The sequence below is a fragment of the Homo sapiens genome, chromosome 4 (genome assembly GCF_000001405.40).
Source record: "Homo sapiens chromosome 4, GRCh38.p14 Primary Assembly".
Taxonomy (NCBI): Eukaryota; Metazoa; Chordata; class Mammalia; order Primates; family Hominidae; genus Homo; species Homo sapiens.
Genome location: NC_000004.12, coordinates 106621659 through 106642623, shown reverse-complemented (window position 1 = coordinate 106642623; position 20965 = coordinate 106621659). Strand labels below are relative to the sequence as shown.

The window sequence follows — 20965 nt, the reverse complement described above, 5'->3', positions numbered from 1 at the left end:
GCTGTTGTAGGAGCTCAGCCAAGAGATGATTAGGACCTGTAGTATAGAATTAGTATTAAGAATGAAGGTAATTAGACTCTCTTGTGAACAATTTGAGCCACAAAATTAATAAATGGGAAGACTGATGGGGCTTGAGGCTGGTGCAGTGCTGAGACTAAGGTGAAATCAAGAAGGACTGCAAGTTCCCTGGATTTGGGGAGAGTGTGGTGTACATCCCAGTGAGCTTTACCAAGATGTGACCAACTCCTCAAACTCCCCCGAGAGTTCAGCAACACATTCTGTACACTGCTAATCTTTTCTGTCTTACATGGAGTTTAATTATATTACTAGTTATAAAGATATAATCTCTGACTTTCAATTCAATTGATATTAATATACAGTTATTGAATATCTGTTTATCAACTCAGTATTGAAGCTTCAGAAACATATTCCACTTGGGGCTCCTTTTATTAAATGTTGTGATAGGAATGTTGAGATGTTATTTATTATGCATTTATTATATATCCATTCATAGTTTCCACTCATCAATCATTCTTTTTTAGACCAACACATAATAAAGGACAAAATGGAAAAAAAAATACTGAAGTCATCAGAATTTCTACACAATACCTTCAGTGTTCTTGCACTTTGCAATGCTGCCATTTTTCTCTTGTAGCTCTTTTCTCATAGCTTCTCTCTGAAAATGGACAAAGCTACAATTGGTAATGAAACAAAGATAAGTGAGTCTGAAAAGCAAAATGAACTCTAAGCCAAAACTAGTGAAAAATTACACTATTGCTGCCAGTGAAAATCAAAGCCTAAAAATATATGACTGCATGACTGAATGAGAAAAACAGAGAGGAGGGACAGAATAAGAAGGGAAATAGAGCAAAGGAAAAAAGAGAGGTGGCATATGCTACAAAGAATAAAGACACAGGTCCTCAGTCTTCCTGAACTCTGGCAGTGACCTTGGTAAAGCTGTTCCAAATCTTGTCTAAAATTACATATTAGTCTGATATGTGGAAGTAAGCAATTATGACTGCTCCATATTAATAAAAAAAAAGACTTTAAGCATTCCTGAAGACTACCTGGAGCATGCCCATTGAAAACTTGTGGATCATAGGCACCCAGCCTGAAAGTATTTAACAAAGAGAAGACCATTGGGAAAGTTTCTTTTTTTTGTTTTTTTTTTTGTTTTTTTTTAAATTTTTTTTTATTATACTTTAAGTTTTAGGGTACATGTGCACATTGTGCAGGTTAGTTACATATGTATACATGTGCCATGCTGATGCGCTGCACCCACTAACTCGTCATCTAGCATTAGGTATATCTCCCAATGCTATCCCTCCCCCCTCCCCACACCCCACCACGGTCCCCAGAGTGTGATATTCCCCTTCCTGTGTCCATGTGATCTCATTGTTCAATTCCCACCTATGAGTGAGAATATGCAGTGTTTGGTTTTTTGTTCTTGCGATAGTTTACTGAGAATGATGATTTCCAATTTCATCCATGTCCCTACAAAGGACATGAACTCATCATTTTTTATGGCTGCATAGTATTCCATGGTGTATATGTGCCACATTTTCTTAATCCAGTCTATCATTGTTGGACATTTGGGTTGGTTCCAAGTCTTTGCTATTGTGAATAGTGCCGCAATAAACATACGTGTGCATGTGTCTTTATAGCAGCAAGATTTATATTCCTTTGGGTATATACCCAGTAATGGGATGGCTGGGTCAAATGGTATTTCTAGTTCGAGATCCCTGAGGAATCGCCACACTGACTTCCACAATGGTTGAACTAGTTTACAGTCCCACCAACAGTGTAAAAGTGTTCCTATTTCTCCACATCCTCTCCAGCACCTGTTGTTTCCTGACTTTTTAATGATTGCCATTCTAACTGGTGTGAGATGGTATCTCATTATGGTTTTGATTTGCATTTCTCTGATGGCCAGTGATGATGAGCATTTTTTCATGTGTCTGTTGGCTGCATAAATGTCTTCTTTTGAGAAGTGTCTGTTCATGTCCTTTGCCCACTTGTTGATGGGGTTGTTTGTTTTTTTCTTGTAAATTTGTTTGAGTTCATTGTAGATTCTGGATATTAGCCCTTTGTCAGATGAGTAGGTTGGGAAAATTTTCTCCCATTTTGTAGGTTGCCTGTTCACTCTGATGGTAGTTTCTTTTGCTGTGCAGAAGCTCTTTAGTTTAATTAGATCCCATTTGTCAATTTTGTCTTTTGTTGCCATTGCTTTTGGTGTTGTGGACATGAAGTCCTTGCCCATGCCTATGTCCTGAATGGTGATGCCTAGGTTTTCTTCTAGGGTTTTTATGGTTTTAGGTCTAACGTTTAAGTCTTTAATCCATCTTGAATTGATTTTTGTATAAGGTATAAGGAAGGGATCCAGTTTCAGCTTTCTACATATGGCTAGCCAGTTTTCCCAGCACCATTTATTAAATAGGTAATCCTTTCCCCATTGCTTGTTTTTCTCAGGTTTGTCAAAGATCAGATAGATGTAGATATGCGGCGTTATTTCTGAGGGCTCTGTTCTGTTCCATTGATCTATATCTCTGTTTTGGTACCAGTACCATGCTGTTTTGGTTACTGTAGCCTTGTAGTATAGTTTGAAGTCAGGTAGTGTGATGCCTCCAGCTTTGTTCTTTTGGCTTAGGATTGCCTTGGCGATGCGGGCTCTTTTTTGAAACCAACGAGAACAAAGACACAACATACCAGAATCTCTGGGACGCATTCAAAGCAGTGTGTAGAGGGAAATTTATAGCACTAAATGCCCACAAGAGAAAGCAGGAAAGATCCAAAATTGACACCCTAACATCACAATTAAAAGAACTAGAAAAGCAAGAGCAAACACATTCAAAAGCTAGCAGAAGGCAAGAAATAACTAAAATCAGAGCAGAACTGAAGGAAATAGAGACACAAAAAACCCTTCAAAAAATTAATGAATCCAGGAGCTGGTTTTTTGAAAGGATCAACAAAATTGATAGACCGCTAGCAAGACTAATAAAGAAAAAAAGAGAGAAGAATCAAATAGACACAATAAAAAATGATAAAGGGGATATCACCACTGATCCCACAGAAATACAAACTACCATCAGAGAATACTACAAACACCTCTACGCAAATAAACTAGAAAATCTAGAAGAAATGGATAAATTCCTTGACACATACACTCTCCCAAGACTAAACCAGGAAGAAGTTGAATCTCTGAATAGACCAATAACAGGAGCTGAAATTGGGGCAATAATCAATAGTTTACCAACCAAAAAGAGTCCAGGACCAGATGGATTCACAGCCGAATTCTATCAGAGGTACAAGGAGGAACTGGTACCATTCCTTCTGAAACTATTCCAATCAATAGAAAAAGAGGTAATCCTCCCTAACTCATTTTATGAGGCCAGCATCATTCTGATACCAAAGCCGGGCAGAGACACAACCAAAAAAGAGAATTTTAGACCAATATCCTTGATGAACATTGATGCAAAAATCCTCAATAAAATACTGGCAAAACAAATCCAGCAGCACATCAAAAAGCTTATCCACCATGATCAAGTGGGCTTCATCCCTGGGATGCAAGGCTGGTTCAATATACGCAAATCAATAAATGTAATCCAGCATATAAACAGAGCCAAAGACAAAAACCACATGATTATCTCAATAGATGCAGAAAAAGCCTTTGACAAAATTCAACAACCCTTCATGCTAAAAACTCTCAATAAATTAGGTATTGATGGGACGTATTTCAAAATAATAAGAGCTATCTATGACAAACCCACAACCAATATCATACTGAATGGGCAAAAACTGGAAGCATTCCCTTTGAAAACTGGCACAAGACAGGGATGCCCTCTCTCACCACTCCTATTCAACATAGTGTTGGAAGTTCTGGCCAGGGCAATTAGGCAGGAGAAGGAAATAAAGGGTATTCAATTAGGAAAAGAGGAAGTCAAATTGTCCCTGTTTGCAGATGACATGATTGTATATCTAGAAAACCCCATTGTCTCAGCCCCAAATCTCCTTAAGCTGATAAGCAACTTCAGCAAAGTCTCAGGATACAAAATCAATGTACAAAAATCAGAAGCATTCTTATACACCAATAACAGACAAACAGAGAGCCAAATCATGAGTGAACTCCCATTCACAATTGCTTCAAAGAGAATAAAATACCTAGGAATCCAACTTACAAGGGATGTGAAGGACCTCTTCAAGGAGAACTACAAACCACTGCTCAAGGAAATAAAAGAGGATACAAACAAATGGAAGAACATTCCATGCTCATGGGTAGGAAGAATCAATATCGTGAAAATGGCCACACTGCCCAAGGTAATTTATAGATTCAATGCCATCCCCATCAAGCTACCAATGACTTTCTTCACAGAATTGGAAAAAACTACTTTAAAGTTCATATGGGAAAGTTTCTTTTTTTCTCTTTCCTTTTTGCTTCCTAATTGCTTTAGAATTCCTGACACAATTAATTAGGCAACAATAAAATGCAAAAGGAATTTCTACTGGCATTTGGCACTATAAATATTATGTATACAGGAATGATAATTTTGTTGGCATTCTGCAATTCCCTGTTTTCAATTTCCTTCATTCTTTTATATAATAAAGTTTTGGTTACGCCTCCAGATACAGAATAAACTAGGTGAAGTTTAAAGCCCTGTTGTCCCAATGAGTTTTCTTATAAAATGTTATCCAAAAGTCTTTTATTTAATGATGTCCCTATTGATGAGACATTGACTTCGTCGTTGTTTAATCTTTCATTCTCAAATGTCTGAACTTTGTAGAGGTACACTCTATGTTGAACAATATATTAAAATCTTTGCATGGAAGTATTCTCATCACCTACCATAGTCCCTGGCATTTATATTCCAGTTAAATAACATTTTAGATTTAGATTCTCTATTAGTTTATTCTCACACTGTTATAAAGAACTACCTGAGACTGAGTAATTTATGAAGAAAAGAGGTTTAATTGACTCACAGTTCCACAGACTATACAGGAAGCATGACTGGAGGCCTCAGGAAAATCACAATCATGGCGGAAGGTGAAGGGGAAGCAGGCACGTCTTACCATGGTGGAGCAGGAGTAAGAGAGCCAAGGGGAAGGTGCCACACACTTTCAAACAACCAGATCTCATGAAAACTCACTCACTCTCACAAGAACAGCAAGGGGAAAATCTGCCTCCAGGATCCAATCGCTTCCCACCAGGTCTCTCCTCCAACACCGGGAATTATTAATACAATTCGACATAAGAATTGGGTGGAGACAAAGAGCCAAACATATCATTCCACTCCTGGCCCCTCCCAAATCTCATGTCCTTCTCACATTTCAAAACACAATCATACCTTCCCAACAGTCCACCAAAGTCTTAATTCATTCCAGCATTAACTCAAAAGTCCTAGTCCAAAGCCTCATCTGAGACAAGGCAAATCCCTTCCTCCTATGAGCCTGTAAAATCAAAAACTAGTTGGTTATATCCAAGACACAATGCAGGCACAGGCATTGGGTGAATGTCAAAAATATAAATGTGAATTTTTGTAACAAAAGCATAATTTTAAAGAAACTAAATAGAGAGAGCTGTGGTAATCAGAGGACTTGTCTTGGCTTTTTTTGTTTGTTTGTTTTTTGAGACGACGTCTTTGGAGTGCAATGACACGATCTCAGCTCACGCAACCTCCGCCTTCCAGGTTCAAGCGATTCCCCTGCCTTACAGCACCCGCCATCATGCCCGGCTAATTTTTATTTTTGTAGAGATGGGGTTTCACTATGTTGGCCAGGCTGGTCTCGAACTTCTGACCTCAGGTGATCTGCCTGCCTAGGCCTCCCAAAGTGCTAGGATTACAGGCGTGAGCCACTGCACCCGGCCTTGCTTTGGCATTATTAAAACTAGCTAAGAATTATTTTTCCCAAGCAAAATATTTATTGCAAATTCAAAACTTACTTTAGAAAAAATAAAGAATTTGTATATCTTTCTTCTCTCCCCAAATTCCCTACCCCCCAATCAGAGAGGATATTTCAAAACACTTTTTCATCTTCCTAAATAGAAAATAAAATGGGAGAATAATATGCCCTGGACCAATGAAGCCCAGATAAAACTAAAATCATTCTGTTAGAGAAGGAAATCCATAAATACTATTAATATATTTGAGTTACAAAGAAACTTGAGCCTTCAAACCAAGACAATAAGAAAGTTTAATGTTTTAGCACATTAGTTATTAAAGCTGCAATTCTTTACACACTTACCTTAAGTATAGTAAGCATGTGATTTGACTAAATTCCCTCAGTGCTATGAAGTAGGTACTAATACTCCTATTTCACAAATGAAAGTATTATAATTTAAAATGGTTAACTATTTCCCCAAGACTCCATGGCTTAGAAGAGCAAAAGCAAGTCTTGAACCAAGTCCATTTGGTTCTTAAGACCAATACCCTCAGAGCACACTGTTGTAGGCTTCCAAAGGCTTTGCAATCCCTGCAGTATTCTTTCTCAAAGCTTTTGGCCATGAGATCTTCACTACCACTGTTTTTTCAGGTTTTTGTTTGTTTGTTTGTTTTTTGCTTGCTTTTATACCTTCTTTCGAAATAAAGAGATGAAAGAAAATAAAAGATTATAGCCAAAGATATTCCCTCACACCTTCCCTCATACCACCCAAAAGGAAAAAATTATCAGCTACAAAAACTTTTCTGGCAGTGCCTTGAGATTATGTCCTATGGGACCATTTGTGATAGTCATTTCTGTTATTTTCCAACTCCCAGGAGCTCCAGCCCATGTTCTACCTAAGATACACTCCATTCCCTCATACATCATCAATCACTGACTACTGTGATGGTGCCCTTTTGCAATAGCTTCCTTCTCTGCTCCTCCAGCATTCAACTTGGTAGATAAACCTTTGTGTTAAGAAGGCCAGTTTACTACTTAGGTACTTCAATTGTGTGAACAAATAGCACAGGCAGCAGTAACCCCTAAACATATAAGAATTTATGCCTGCAACAATGTTAACCCTATTTGTAGTTTTTCACAATATACATCAAGACAATATGTTCATTTTTTCTCCCTGAACTCAAAAAGAACAAATTTCTAGTTCTTCAGGAGAGTACTTTGGCTCTCTTATCTCATAAGCAATACCAGTAATATCGTGAAAAATCAGCGAGTAAAAAATAAAAATTAAAAAAGACAAGTGAATAAAGAAGTAGAAAGAGTGATGAATGCATAATGAACCAAAAAATCACCAATGAGATGTGTGAGATTAATACTTTAAATGTTTCTTAACCACAGAAACCCTGTTTACTGTTGCTGCATATATATTTCAAAAAAGTGAGAAAAACTAAAAATAATAGAGGCAAGAAATTGAAAAATATAACAGCCTGAAGCCATTAAGTATAAAGCAACCTAAATCTCAAGATAATAATTCAGAATATTATGTCACATTATAGCATATTAATTAGTATTTCTAATGACAGTTCTGAGACAGTGCATGTTTTGGAAATTTGAACATTTACAGAGAATGTTTAAGTGATACCAAATGCCCTTTCTTGCAAAACCAAGAGAAATGTGTGAAACATTTTTTAAAGACTCCCATTAAAAAAATAAACTTTAGCACTTAACATAGATAAGCTTCAGCTGGAAAAATCACTTACATGGATCATTTCATTTCACACACACCTAAAATATTGGGTGTCTATTCCTACCATGTGGAACATTTTGTTTTTTAATGGATCACTTAGTCTTTCTCAGAGACTGAGGAAGATAATGACTCTTGGCTTCTAGCATCTAAAGAAATCATCAGCTTTACTCTTCTCTTTTGGAAATGAATGACTGGGAATAAAGACATTCCTCCCTCTCTGCTTTTCACTCCAACCTTACCAACTAGTTCAATGCCCAGAGAGCCCATGCAAATTGTTTCCTACATATGCTTTTGGCAAACACCTCTAGCACTTTCTCTTCTGTCAAATTTTCTCAGCCTCTGGCTGGGCGTGGTGGCTCATGCCTGTAATCCCAGCACTTTGGGAGGCTGAGGTGGATCAGTTGAGGTCAGGAATTTGAGACCAGCCTGGCTAACATGGTGAAACCCCATTTCTACTAATAAGACAAAAATTAGCCAGGCGTGGCACATGCCTGTAATCTCAGCTACTGGGGAGGCGGAGGCAGGACAATCTGTTGAACCCAGAAGACGGAGGCTGTAGTGAGCCAAGATCTCGCCATTGCACTCCAGGCTGGGCAAAAAAGTGAGACTCCATCTCAAAAGAAAAAAAAAATCTTCTCAGCCTCTAAAATATATCAAGGATAATTGAAACAAATATGATGAAGACATTCCAGGATAGAAATCATAAAACAATGGGCTGGGCACGGTGGCTCACACACTTAATCCCAGCACATTGGGAGGCCGAGGCAGGCGGATCACAAGGTCAGGAGATCGAGACCACCCTGATTAACACAGTGAAACCCTGTCTCTACTAACGATACAAAAAATTAGCTGGGCATGGTGGCGGGTGCCTGTAATCCCAGCTACTCGGGAGGCTGAGCCAGGAGAATGGCTTGAACCCGGGAGGCGGAGGTTGCAGTGAGCCAACGAGATCACGCCACTGCACTACAGCCTGGGCAACAGAGCAAGACTCTGTCTCAAAAAAAAAAAAAAAAGAAAGAAATCACAAAACAAAATGCTTAACCCTAAATTAAAGAGGTGGTCTGTTTATCAGCAGTCAATATTTGGAAGAGGCAAATAATTAACTATGGTAACCTTCTCTTCTTTTTATTTTATTTTATTTTATTTTTTTTGAGACAGAGTCTCACTCTGTTGCCCAGGCTGGAGTGCAGTGGCGCAATCATGGCTCACTGCAACCTCCGCCTCCTGGGTTCAAGCAATTCTCCTGCCTCAGCCTCTTGAGTAGCTGAGATTATAGGTGTGCGCCACCACGCCCAGGTAATTTTTGTATTTTTAGTAGAGACAGGATTTCACCATGTTTGTCAGGCTGGTCTCGAGCTCCTGACCTCGCGATCCACCCGCCTCGGCCTCCCAAAGTGCTGGAATTACAGGCATGAGCCACCGCACCCAGCCCCTTCTCTTCATCTCAATCGAAGTTTCACCTGACAGGCAGTGTGGGTCAGAAGTAGAATTATATAATACAGATATAATGTCATTATTAACATTAAAAAGAAACTACTCTTTTGAGATCATGTAAATCTAGTCGGGGATAGTTCTTATTACAGGTGATCTCTTTATTGTATCACTTTGATGTTGAGAGCCAAGCCAGTATAATATAGAAGCAAAGAAAAAAAAAAAGACAGAGAAAGGAAGAATATCTTCAGTCACAGGCTTTGTGAGGGCAAGGTACCTTAAATCTTGTAATGTAAATTTACAACACAATAGCTATACATCAGTAACAAGGACTCAGAACAGCAAAACTCTGACATCAAAACACAGTAACGTTAGTAGTCATCTTAGTAATAAGGTTTACTTTCTAGAAATTATCCTGTTGGCTATAGATGAAGCCACTGTGCTGTACCTTCTTTACAAAAGAGTCTTGTTGAATTTCCTCTTGTTTGTTCTTGACTCTCCTTCATTTGTACTCCTTTGTCCAAAAAATGACTTCATGCCTCCTAAATAACTCTTTGGTCATTGTCACATTCTTAGTTCAAGCCACCACATCTCTTGCTTGAATATCTGCAGCAGCATCAGAACTTCCTGCACACAGTTCCATTGACCCCACCTCTAGAACATTAAAAATGCTCTCACTTCTATCTGTTCCCTTCTGTTGATAAGGTGGTTTTAAAAATGCAAATCAATCATGTCACTCCTTTATTTAAAACTCTTGAATGTATTCCGATTACCCTGTAATGAAGCCCAAATTCTTAATACATACTAATAAGACTCTCCTGAGTCAAATCTCTCCATAACTTTTCAGCCCCATTTTGTACCAGGAAGGTTTATTAGGGATCTGTACATCTGAAAAAAGGGGAAAGAATTAAGATTGGGCAGAGGGAGAAGCTGGACTGCGATGTATATCTAACAAAGCCTCAGCCAACCTGGAGGGGACATATGGAGGACATATTGCCCATTAGAGTCATCCTTCACCAAGCTAAAATTAAAAAGCCTTTATGGACATGTCTCAATCTGTAACTGGATGCAAACTGCCCAAGGATGGAATGACCTAAAGTGAAACAGCTATATGCAGCTAAGGCAGACTCTGACGAGTTGGCAGCTGGAGGGTGCCTACTAATCTTCCTCTCCACATTTGGTCATCTAGATTTTTCTGGGATAAGGAATTGCGTTATGCATGCCCTCATCTACCACAGCCCATTTCTTATACCACTCATATTATCTTTTAAATACACTCGGGGAGCAGCTTCTCCAGGATTTTGATGGGCCTGTCTTCCTGAGGTAAAACTTAGAAGAGACAATTTAGTAGGATAAGCAATAGTCTTCACTTCTACAGCTATCTCAGGTCCACAGTTGATATTCATCATCTCTTTGCTTCACTGTCTACTCTAGATTTCCCTCATGCTTAGCTTCTACTTCTTCTGTCCTGGGTGATTTACATGGTGCCATGACCCAAATCTTCATGCTCAAAGACTCTAGGTTCCAGGCACCATGCTGTAGTTTATGTATCTATATATTATCAGTAATATTTGGGAAATGGAGTTCCAGGAGGTACCCATGTGGATCATCTGGGTTCACACATATTCCTTTCTGTTTTACTATGTAACAGCAGGTCCAACTCCTCCTGCTGATTAGTCAATTACCCCTGTCAAGTCAGTTACCTCTGGCTCTTGCATGCTGGCCCTGGGATGCAAGGATCCCAAGTGTGTAGCTTAAAATTTAATGGTAGCTTTGCTATGTCCCCTGCTTACAGTGTGCCCTTTTGGAAGCCTAGGACCTCTAACTCTTTAGATCCTAGTGTTGCAAGGATGTGAATCACCAAATTCCCCCAGCAGGTTATTGGGAGGGATGGTACAAAGAGCTACTCCTTTTTCTACCTCTTTGTTTCATTTCCCACTGGAAATACAATGCCGTATAAGCTTTTCCATTCAAGGCCTATATTGCCTTGAATGAAATCCTAGAGGATAACATGTCATACATGCAGGCTACCACTTCCCAAGCTGGCACTTCAGCTATGCCTTCCACAGGCTATTCAGTGATCTATCAGGCTGTCAGCTTGTGGGTAGTGCAGAATGTGACATGAACAGTTGATCCCATGGTTATGAGCCCAAATATCCCTTTTGATATAAAGTTTGCTGCCTGTTCTAATACAACATTGTGTGGGGTTTTACACCAGTGGATCAAACACTTAAATCTTAAGATAATGGTACTGGGTAAGGCCCTGTGGACAGAAAAAGAAAACCCATATCTGGGATATATGTCTATTCTTCTGAGAATGAATCACTGCTCCTTCCAGGATGGAAAGTCCCCAATAATATAATCAGCTGGCCAATAAGGGATGAATTTATCTCCTTGAGGAATGATGCCATATTGGGAGCTCAGTAGTTACCTCTGTTGCTGGCATATCAGACATTCAGCAGTGGCAGTAGCTAGATCAGCCCTGGTAAGTGGGAGTTCATGACATTAGGCCCATGTGTGACTTCTGTCTCCATTACTGGTACTGTATGGCCAACCTGCCAGCACTGGGTAGACAACAACAGAGGCTGGCTGAGTTTAAGACAGGTTGGGTCATATTGTCCTCTTGGTTGCATGAACTACTACTAATATAAAAATCTTGATCTTTCCACGTGTGCTCACTTTCATATGTTTATCGAAATGTCTGTACCCCAGACTACTTCGTCTCCAGTCTTCCAAACCTTTTCCTTCCAAACTTAAAAGCTTTCATGCTAGACCATTTGCCTCTGCCCATAATTCACACATAACAAAGTGCACTTCCCAAAGGTCTGCCTATTGGAAGAATTTTTAACCACCATTTGTTAAGCCAATCCCCTAGTAAGGCTGCCATGTGTTTTTGACCCACACTCACATTAATTCATTCATTCAACTTTTATTGAACACTTAATCTGTGCCAATTACTTTCCTAGGGTTTGGGAATCAAAGAACAATAAGACAACATCTTTATTCACTAGTTCACAGCCTAGTGCAAGTCAGAAATAAATAAAACACAGTAAGTGATACTTACAGGATTAACAGCACACTTCCAAATTAATAGGTATAAATGTTAGATATTTCAAAAATAAAAGTTACCCAATAGCAGAAAGATTGGCCTGCAAACTGAATAGGTATGGATTTATAAAATTACAGTTGCAAGTAAAATTAATTAAAATACAACCTGCAAATGTGATTATCTGCTGTCAAGATGAAGCCTGAATATACTTTAGGGAAGCTGGCAAAATGGCCCCTGGTTAATACTATAAATGCTGCACACCAAGCAAATTCTGAGCTCATATAATTCCTCTTTTTCAAACATGTGGTTCAGGGTGCTTCTCAGGGCCATTATTGCCTGCCAACACTGGAGTGGATTGCATCTTTGGGAAGGCGATAAGAAATAGTGCCAAAGGAGGCAAAAAGAGAAAGGGGACAGAGTTGTGCAAAAAATAAAGACGAAGTACCACCGGAACAATGTGTTCCTAAATAATATACGTGATTATTACTGTTCAGAGTCTATGCGGTTTCTGGCATAGCTCCTCAAAACAAATCAATTAGATATAGGCAAATGTTCTCAGCATTGCAGAGTGATTGGTCAAGAGTACAAAAAGGAAATCATATTTCAAATGATATTTGGAAACAAAAAATACCTCAAGCCACTTGAAGAAAGCTAACCATGTGCTCCAAAAAAGGTGTTGCTTATCTAAAATTCTAGGTATCGATCTAGGTCTCTAGGTGGAAATTAAGAGAACCCAACCTAAGAAACTCTCCCCTACCCCAGGCAAAAACAGTCACAGTGTAAATCTAAACCTCAAATAGATATTACAAGCCCAACTCTGAGGAGTGTTTTCTCTCCTCTAAGTATACAAAGAGAAAAGGAAAAAGAAAAAAAAAATCAGCTAACCAAACACTGAAATCTTAACAGAACAAGCACTGGAACATTGGACAACTATCCATGTCTTGTAAATGTCCAAACATTCTTAACTTAAAAAATCTGGCTGTGTTTATCATGGAAAATATAGAATTAAGGTATTTCCAAGCCTTCCTGGATTTAATCATAAAGTACCCCAGACCTCCTGTATGACTCACCCATCCTAATGATGATGATGGAAATGAAAGTATGTTTCTTGGTGGATTAGCTAACAGTGTCCAAGTGAACAACAGCAAGTCCAGAATTATTATCAAGGCATCACGTTCATCCTTGGCATGACAAACATTCAACACTAAGAGTAAATGGCATTTTGTGAAAAAGAAAGTCTTGCCTAAAGAACAAGTGAGTTCTTCCCGATGAATGGAAAAGCATTTTTATAGTTTATGCCAAGTAAACAATAATCTATTTTTTAAAAAGACATAGTGGGAATCATTTAAGCACTTAAAAGATCCAGTGCCACATGCAGTAAGTGAGTGGCATAAAACATTCCATGCTTAAGGAATATGCCACTGGAATCCTCATAAGTAATATCACCACTTAATGGCTGCAGGCACTTCAGACACTAACTCTTCTATAACAGGATTCATGGTGAATTTGTTATACTCATTCATTTAAACAATGATCCAATATATGTTAAATACTGTTAAAATTAATTTGAGTGTTGTTCCTGCATAATATAGTGTGTCTGTTAAATTCTTTCTTATTGTAATTTTTTATTTGATCCACCTCTTTCCTCATAGCTAATTAATGTCAGACCTAAGCTCTGGATTCCAAAACTTACTCATTTTACAAGAGTATTTCACTGATTGTATAAACAACAAAGAGCATGTCAAAATAACAAAATGTCTTTTTTTTCTTGGAAGTAAGAAGAGATTTATTAAAGTATTTGTTTTGGCTAAAGGCTTCAGGCTGGGCACTGTGGCTCACGCCTGTAATCCCAATACTTTGAGAGGCCGAGGTAGGCAGGTCACTTGAGGTCAGGTATTTGAGACGAGCCTGGCCAACATGGTGAAGCCCCATCTCCACTAAAAATACAAAAATTAGCCTGGCATGGTGGCGCACACCTGTAATCCCAGCTACTCGGGAGCCTGAGACAGGAGAGTCCCTTGAACCTGGGAGGCAGAGGCTGCAGTGAGCCAAGATCGTGCCATTGGACTCCAGCCTGGGTGACAGAGTGAGACTCTATCTCAAAAAAGAAAAAAAGAAAAAAAAAAAAAACTTCAAATTAATTCTCCCATAGTCTTCACTAACCATATGTGTGCGTGTGTGTGAGAGTCTGTGTGTATGTATATATAATTTAGAAGAAAAAAACATACTAAAATCAGTGTCAAACTGAGTTTTTAATAATATTTTACCAAATGGAAAAATCTGTTGGGTGAAATAATGGGTTTTTCTCATAAGGAACTAATTAACATACTGTGCTTCCTGTCCTATCTGCCTTTCATCATAAACATTAACTTGTTACAGCAGCATAGCATACCCCTACTGCCTGGAGATACAATAATACCCCATAGAGCTTAATCCTAACATTTTTTTTTTTCTTTGACATGGAGTCTTGCTCTGTCCCCCAGGCTGGAGTGCAGTGGCGCGATCTCGGCTCACTGCAAGCTCCGCCTCCCGGGTTCAGGCCATTCTCCTGACTCAGCCTCCCGAGTAGCCAGAACTATAGGCACTTGCCACCACGTCCGGCTAATTTTTTGTATTTTTAGTAGAGTCGTGGTTTCACCCAGGATGATCTCGATCTCCTGACCTCGTGATCTACCCACCTCGGCCTCCCAAAGTGCTGGGATTACAGGCGTGAGCCACCGCGCCCGGCCAATCCTATCAATTGTTTACCATGAATATTTCTTTTTCAAATTTGTATTTTAACTATTCAGCCATAAAAAGGAACGAATTAATGGCATTCTCAGCAACCTGGATGGAACTGGAGACTACTAGTCTAAGTGAAGTGACTCAGGAATGGAAAACCAAACATTGTATGTTCTCTCTCATAATTGGGAGCTAAGTTATGAGGACACATAGGCATAAGAATGATACAATGGACTTTGGGGACTTGTGGGAAAGGATGGGAGGTGGGTGAGGGATAAAAGACTACACATTGGGTACAATGTACACTGCTTGGGTGATGGGTGCACCAAAATTTCAGAAATCACCGCTAAAGAACTTATTCATGTAACCAAAGACCACCTGTTGCCCCAAAAACCTATTGAAATAAAAAAGAATTCAAAAAATTTATTTTAAAAACCAAATTTGTATTTTAGATTGCGAAATGCTGTGCTTTTACAACTTTTACTAGCAGAAGAATGGAAACAGAAGTATTACAATAAGGTTATGAAATATCAGGTTATGAGTCTAAACATTTGGCAGTATCTTTGGCCACAAGTAAAAGAAATTCTAAGGAAACTTAAACACTAAGAAAATTTATTATTCCACATCATAGAAATGAAGAGAAAGTTCAGGTTTCAGGGTTGGTTACTTACGCATTCCAACGGTCATCAAAGCCTCAAGTTCTTTCCTTCTCCCCTTTCTCCTTTCTTCCCTCTTTCCTTTGACCTCATCCACAGGCTGTTAGATAGATTGCTGCGGAAAAAAAAAAGAAATCAAATTCTTAATTCAGACCAAAATAAAAAAAAGATCCAGACAAAAAAGATAGACTATCCTCTGATGTGGATAGCTCTTAGGGTGGAGGAAAATTTTCTAGAAAATGTACCAGAAGACTGAAGTTTATAGTTTGTTGGTTAGGATTGGGACATATTTCCATTCATAGACCAATCACTTGGAATGATAATCAGCCCACCCTTAGAAAAAATGAGTTATGCCTCTGTAGCTGGGATGGGGTCATATTTTGGGGGCACATGACTGCATGAGAATGCTGTATACCTGAATAGATCCAGATTTCATTTGGAAGAAGAGGAAAAATGAATAGTGAGTAGATCATCAAAAATGTCATCTTATAGTAACTGTAGCTGCATTACAGGTGTAAAGGCTAAAATTTAGGAGTGCAGGTAAGTAGAGTATTGTTGAGGAGGTAATGATCAGAGATTAGAATTTTAAATTAAGTTAAGCTAATGTGGGTTTTTAAAATTTTCTTAATAAAATGAGGATTAGATATAACTAAAAAATAAGTCCCCAATAAATAAAGATTGAATCAAAGACAATGCATCTTTCTGGACTCAGTATCAGTCTTTCATGTATCAGTATTAAAAAATACAAAATTATGAAAATTTCAATCCAGTTGCTCTGTTTACAAATGAGTCCAAATTATCTGAGATCACATAAGAATCAGTGATAGGCAGATATCCTTAAACTCATGGTATTTTTCCTGTCCCAATATTATGTTACATTTTTTACTGAGTATCATGTCGTTATAAAGATACATCAGTTATGATTTTTTAATGCAAAAATTATCATTCCATAGGAGTGCAGGTGCCTTCTTGGTAAAATGATATATTTTCTTTTGGGTAGATACTCAGTAGTGAGATTGCTGGATTGAATGGTAATTCTATTTTTAGTTCTTTGAGAAATCTTCATACTGCTTTTCATAAAGGTTGCATTAATTTACATTCCTACCAACAGTGTGTAAGCATTCCCTTTTTGTGTCCATCAGTGAATGACTGGATTTAAACTGTGGTATAAATATACCATGAAATATCACTCAGCCATATAAAAGAATGAAACCATGTCTTTTGTAGCAACATGGATAGAACCAGAGACCATTATCCTACGTGAAGCGACTCCAAAACAGGTCAAAAGCTCCATGTTCCCACTGATAAGTGGGAGCTAAACAATATGTACACATGGACACACAGAGGGGAATAATAGACATTTGAGAGTCCAGAAAGTAAGAAGGTATGAGGGAAGTGAGGGATGAAATAATATCTATTCCTATTGGGCACAATGTACACTATTCAGATGATAGGTGCACTAACAGCCCAGACTTCACCACTACACAATATACCCATGTAACACAATGCACTTGTATGCCTAAATCGACACAAATAAAAAAATAAAATCATTATTCCAAATTGTTCTGAATGCTTTTACATAAGCATAATAAGAAATGAAACACCTCTTTTCTCTTTTAGCACTCTTTATTTTATCAGAAATTAAGTTACTATTATTAATATTGATGCCAAAAATTGGCTATCTACTATGTGTCAAGTATTGTGTCGGGTGCTTTGTAATCATTATTTCTAATTGTCCTAACAGCCCAAAAGGGAACTCAATAGATCCTTTTTGAAGATGGACTGAGGTTCATAGGCTTTAAGTTCTTTGTCCAGGACAAGTTGATTCTGGAGCAAAGATTTAAAGGTTTGTTTACAAATAAACTTTTTGTTTGTTTACAGAGCAATATTTTTTATAATCATAGATGCAAAAATTCCAAACAAAATTTCTGAAAATTAAATCTGACAAGATATAAAAACAATAATATATCACAACCAAATTGAGATTATCCCAAGAATGTAAGGTGGGCTTAATTCTTGAAAACCAATCAGTATACTTCATCATATTAAGGGATTTAAAAATTAAAAATACTTATTATCTAAATAAGCTCAGGAAAAACATTTGACAAAATATAACATCTACAAATAAACAAAATAAAAACTTCACAGTAAACCAGAAATAGGAGGGAACTTCCTTAACCTGATAAAGATCACCCATGAAAATCCTTCAGCTAACATCACACTTATAGTGAAAGACTCATGTTTTCCTCCAAGATGAAGAACTAAATAAAAATGTTAGCTCTCATCATTTCTATTAATACTATACTGGAGATTCTGACTACTACCATAAAACATGAGAAATAAACATAAAACATCCAGATTGGAATGTAAAAAGTATGACTGCCTTTATTCACAAAAGAAATAATTGTATACGTAGAAAACCTGATGAACTGTGTAAAATAACTTCTAGAACTAGTAAGTGAGATTAGTAAGGCTGCAAGGTTAAAACATCAATTGTATTTCTATCAAAAAATAATTTTATAATCATCTATAACATTATAAATATGAAATACATAAGGATAGATTTGAAAAAGATGTGGCAACTACAAAACACTGCTAGGGAAAATTAAAATCTAAAAATATAGAGAAATATAGCGTGTCCATGGGTTGGAAGACTCAGTAATATCAAATGTCAGTCTTCATTAAATTATTATGTAATTGCAATGCAATTGTAATCAAAATCCCAGCAAGCTTTTTGTGTAGGAGGTTTCAAGTAGAAAAGGAAATTCAAAGGACCTTGAAGAGTCAAAACAACTTTGAAAAAGAAGAGCAACATCAGAGCATTTACACTACCTGACTTCACCTTACAGTAAAGTGACAATAATTAAAGAATACAGTATAAATGTAAATATAAACAAATAGATCAATGGCCTCACACACATATGGATGATTGATATTTGTAAAGATTCACAGGAAAGTCAGAGGAGAAATGGTAGTTTTTTCTTCAAATTATATTTTCTTCAAATTATATTGAAACTATTGGACATGCAAACTACATACAAGACAAAAAATTGCCATATACAAAAATTAACTCAAATGGAATTTAATATAAAAACTAAAACTATAAATCTAGGAGAAAACTTTTTCGATCTTGGATTAGATGAAGGTTTCCTAGTTACAATACAAAAGGCATGATTTACAAGAGAACAAATTGAAAAATTTGACTTTTTCAAAATCAAAACTTTTCAGAAGACATTGTGTTTTATTTATTTATTTATTTATTTATTTATTATTATTATACTTTAAGTTTTAGGGTTCATGTGCACAATGTGCAGGTTAGTTACATATGTATACATGTGCCATGCTGGTGCGCTGCACCCACTAACCCGTCATCCAGCATTAGGTATATCTCCCAGTGCTATCCCTCCCCCCTCCCCCCACCCCACAATTGTTACGAGAGTAAAAAGATAATCCACAGACATAGACAAAATATTTGTAAATCATATATTTGATAAAAAGATTTGTACCCAAAATATATAAAGAATTTCAAAATTAAACAATAATAATGCCTTCAAAAGTTGGCAAACATGTGAACAGACATTTTTATCAGGGGAAATAAACAGATGAAAAATAAACACATGAAAAGATGCTCAACCTCATTAGTTATTAGGGAAATACAAATTAAAATCACAATTAATATGACTGTATACTTTTAGAAAGGTTGTAATTTAAACAACTCACAATACCAAGTGTTGGCAAGGCCATGGAAGCACCAGAATTCTAATACAATGCTGGTGAGAATCTTTAATGGTACAACCATGTTGGAAAATACCTTGGCCATTTCTGAATCTGTTAATTGTACACCTACTTTGTGATCCACCCATTTCATTGCACAGTATTTACCCAAGAAAAATAAGAACATATTTCTATAAAAATTGTGTGTAATGTTCGTAGCAGTTTTATTTTAATAACCAAAAACTGAAAACAACCCAGTCTATCAACAGGTGAATGAAAGCAAATTGTGGAACATATAAACAATAGAATACTATTCAGCAATAAAAAGTAAACTATTAATACAACAAAATGGATAAATCTCAAAACAACTGTGCTAAATGAAAGCAGACAGACAAAAAGAGTTTTACAAAGCACATGAGAAAATTTTTGCCAGTGATGGACATGCTCATTATTAATTCTGGTAATAATTTCTCAGATATATTTTTATATATTCAGAAATATATCAAAATATATCAAATTGTATGGTTTAAATATATGCAGCTACTTGTATGTCATTTATACCTCAATAAAGCTGTTAACAGCAACAAAGTAATCTTACTTATTTTGAAACTTCAGGCTGAACTTAATCCAAAACTCATATCCCATCCTGCACGGACTAAACCAGAAGCCCTGGCTGCATAAAGTAGACGGGGTTGGAGAGAAGGTTTTAGGTCCTCTGGTGTGGGACAAGGATAAGGAAAAGAGAAGGCATTATCTTTTTACGTGACTTTCCTTTTGATGGTAGTTGGGAGGTATTTCCATCCTCATTCTAGTCATGTGGTTTCATCTGATGTTGAGAATTTTGCTAATATTCGGGGCTCCATGTGGGTGATGTGCATGGGTTCCTCAGGGTGGTGTTTACTTTCACCTAAGCTTCGTCCATTGTTCAAGAGACCTCTTTAGAGGAGCAACTATGTCTGCCATTGGCTCCACCAGCAATAATATTTATATATATATACACACACACACACACACACACATACACACACACATGCACACACACACATACATATATATGCATGTGTGTGTGTGTGTACATATATGTGTATATATATATATACCTCCCAACAACTTCTCTGGGTTGGGCATTTTGTCACTTTTCTCAATGGCTATATAAGTTTCTATTCACTACCGTCTAAGTGTGAAGGCACCTCTCAAAAGCCTTGCAGATTTGAGATCGGGAAACAATAGCCCTAATTTGCTTGCTCAGATAAATTATTCTATGTCATTAGCCACTCAAATCATGCTGTTCCAGGGAGCCTCCTGTCTTCAGAAAGCAGATGCCAGTCTCTGCTCACTACTGAGGCCATTAAACCTTATTCTTCTCAGAGTGGGAATGGAGGAACTTTAATAAGACTGCATGCTGTACTCTTGGGCTCCCTACAGTTCTTTTAAACACATTCTCACCAAACTCTGCTCTGGAGAGTTCTGAAGCTCAGAAATCACCTATTAAGAGAAGAGATCTCAGATTCCCCCTCCTTAAGGAACACTAAGCATGATGGAGTTATTTATATCCTACTGCTCAAGGTAGTCACCAAGGTCTGTTTGCAAAAAGTTAAAAAACTGCAACCTCAGGCATAAACAGGTTAAAGATACTCCCAGTCTTCATGAGTGATCTTGGGTTCCCCTTAACTTAAGTTCAGTAAAGGAGGGAGGGAAGACTCTTTGTTCACAGACACTTTACTCCACAGTGATACAGTCAACTAGTTTAATAACAAATCTGTTTTCATTTTTTCT

At 37.5% G+C, this 20965-nt stretch overlaps 1 long non-coding RNA gene across 2 annotated transcripts in view; it reads right to left on the bottom strand.

The window, feature by feature from the left end:
* Window positions 1-20965, bottom strand: part of LOC105377356 (uncharacterized) — a 288441-nt gene that overhangs the window by 171660 nt on the left and 95816 nt on the right. For both annotated transcript variants that reach the window (XR_939051.1, XR_939053.3), the window contains exons 2-3: window positions 15491-15590; window positions 610-676 (exon numbers count right to left, since the gene is read on the bottom strand). This is a non-coding gene — a long non-coding RNA (uncharacterized LOC105377356). The remainder of the gene's footprint in view (window positions 1-609; window positions 677-15490; window positions 15591-20965) is intronic.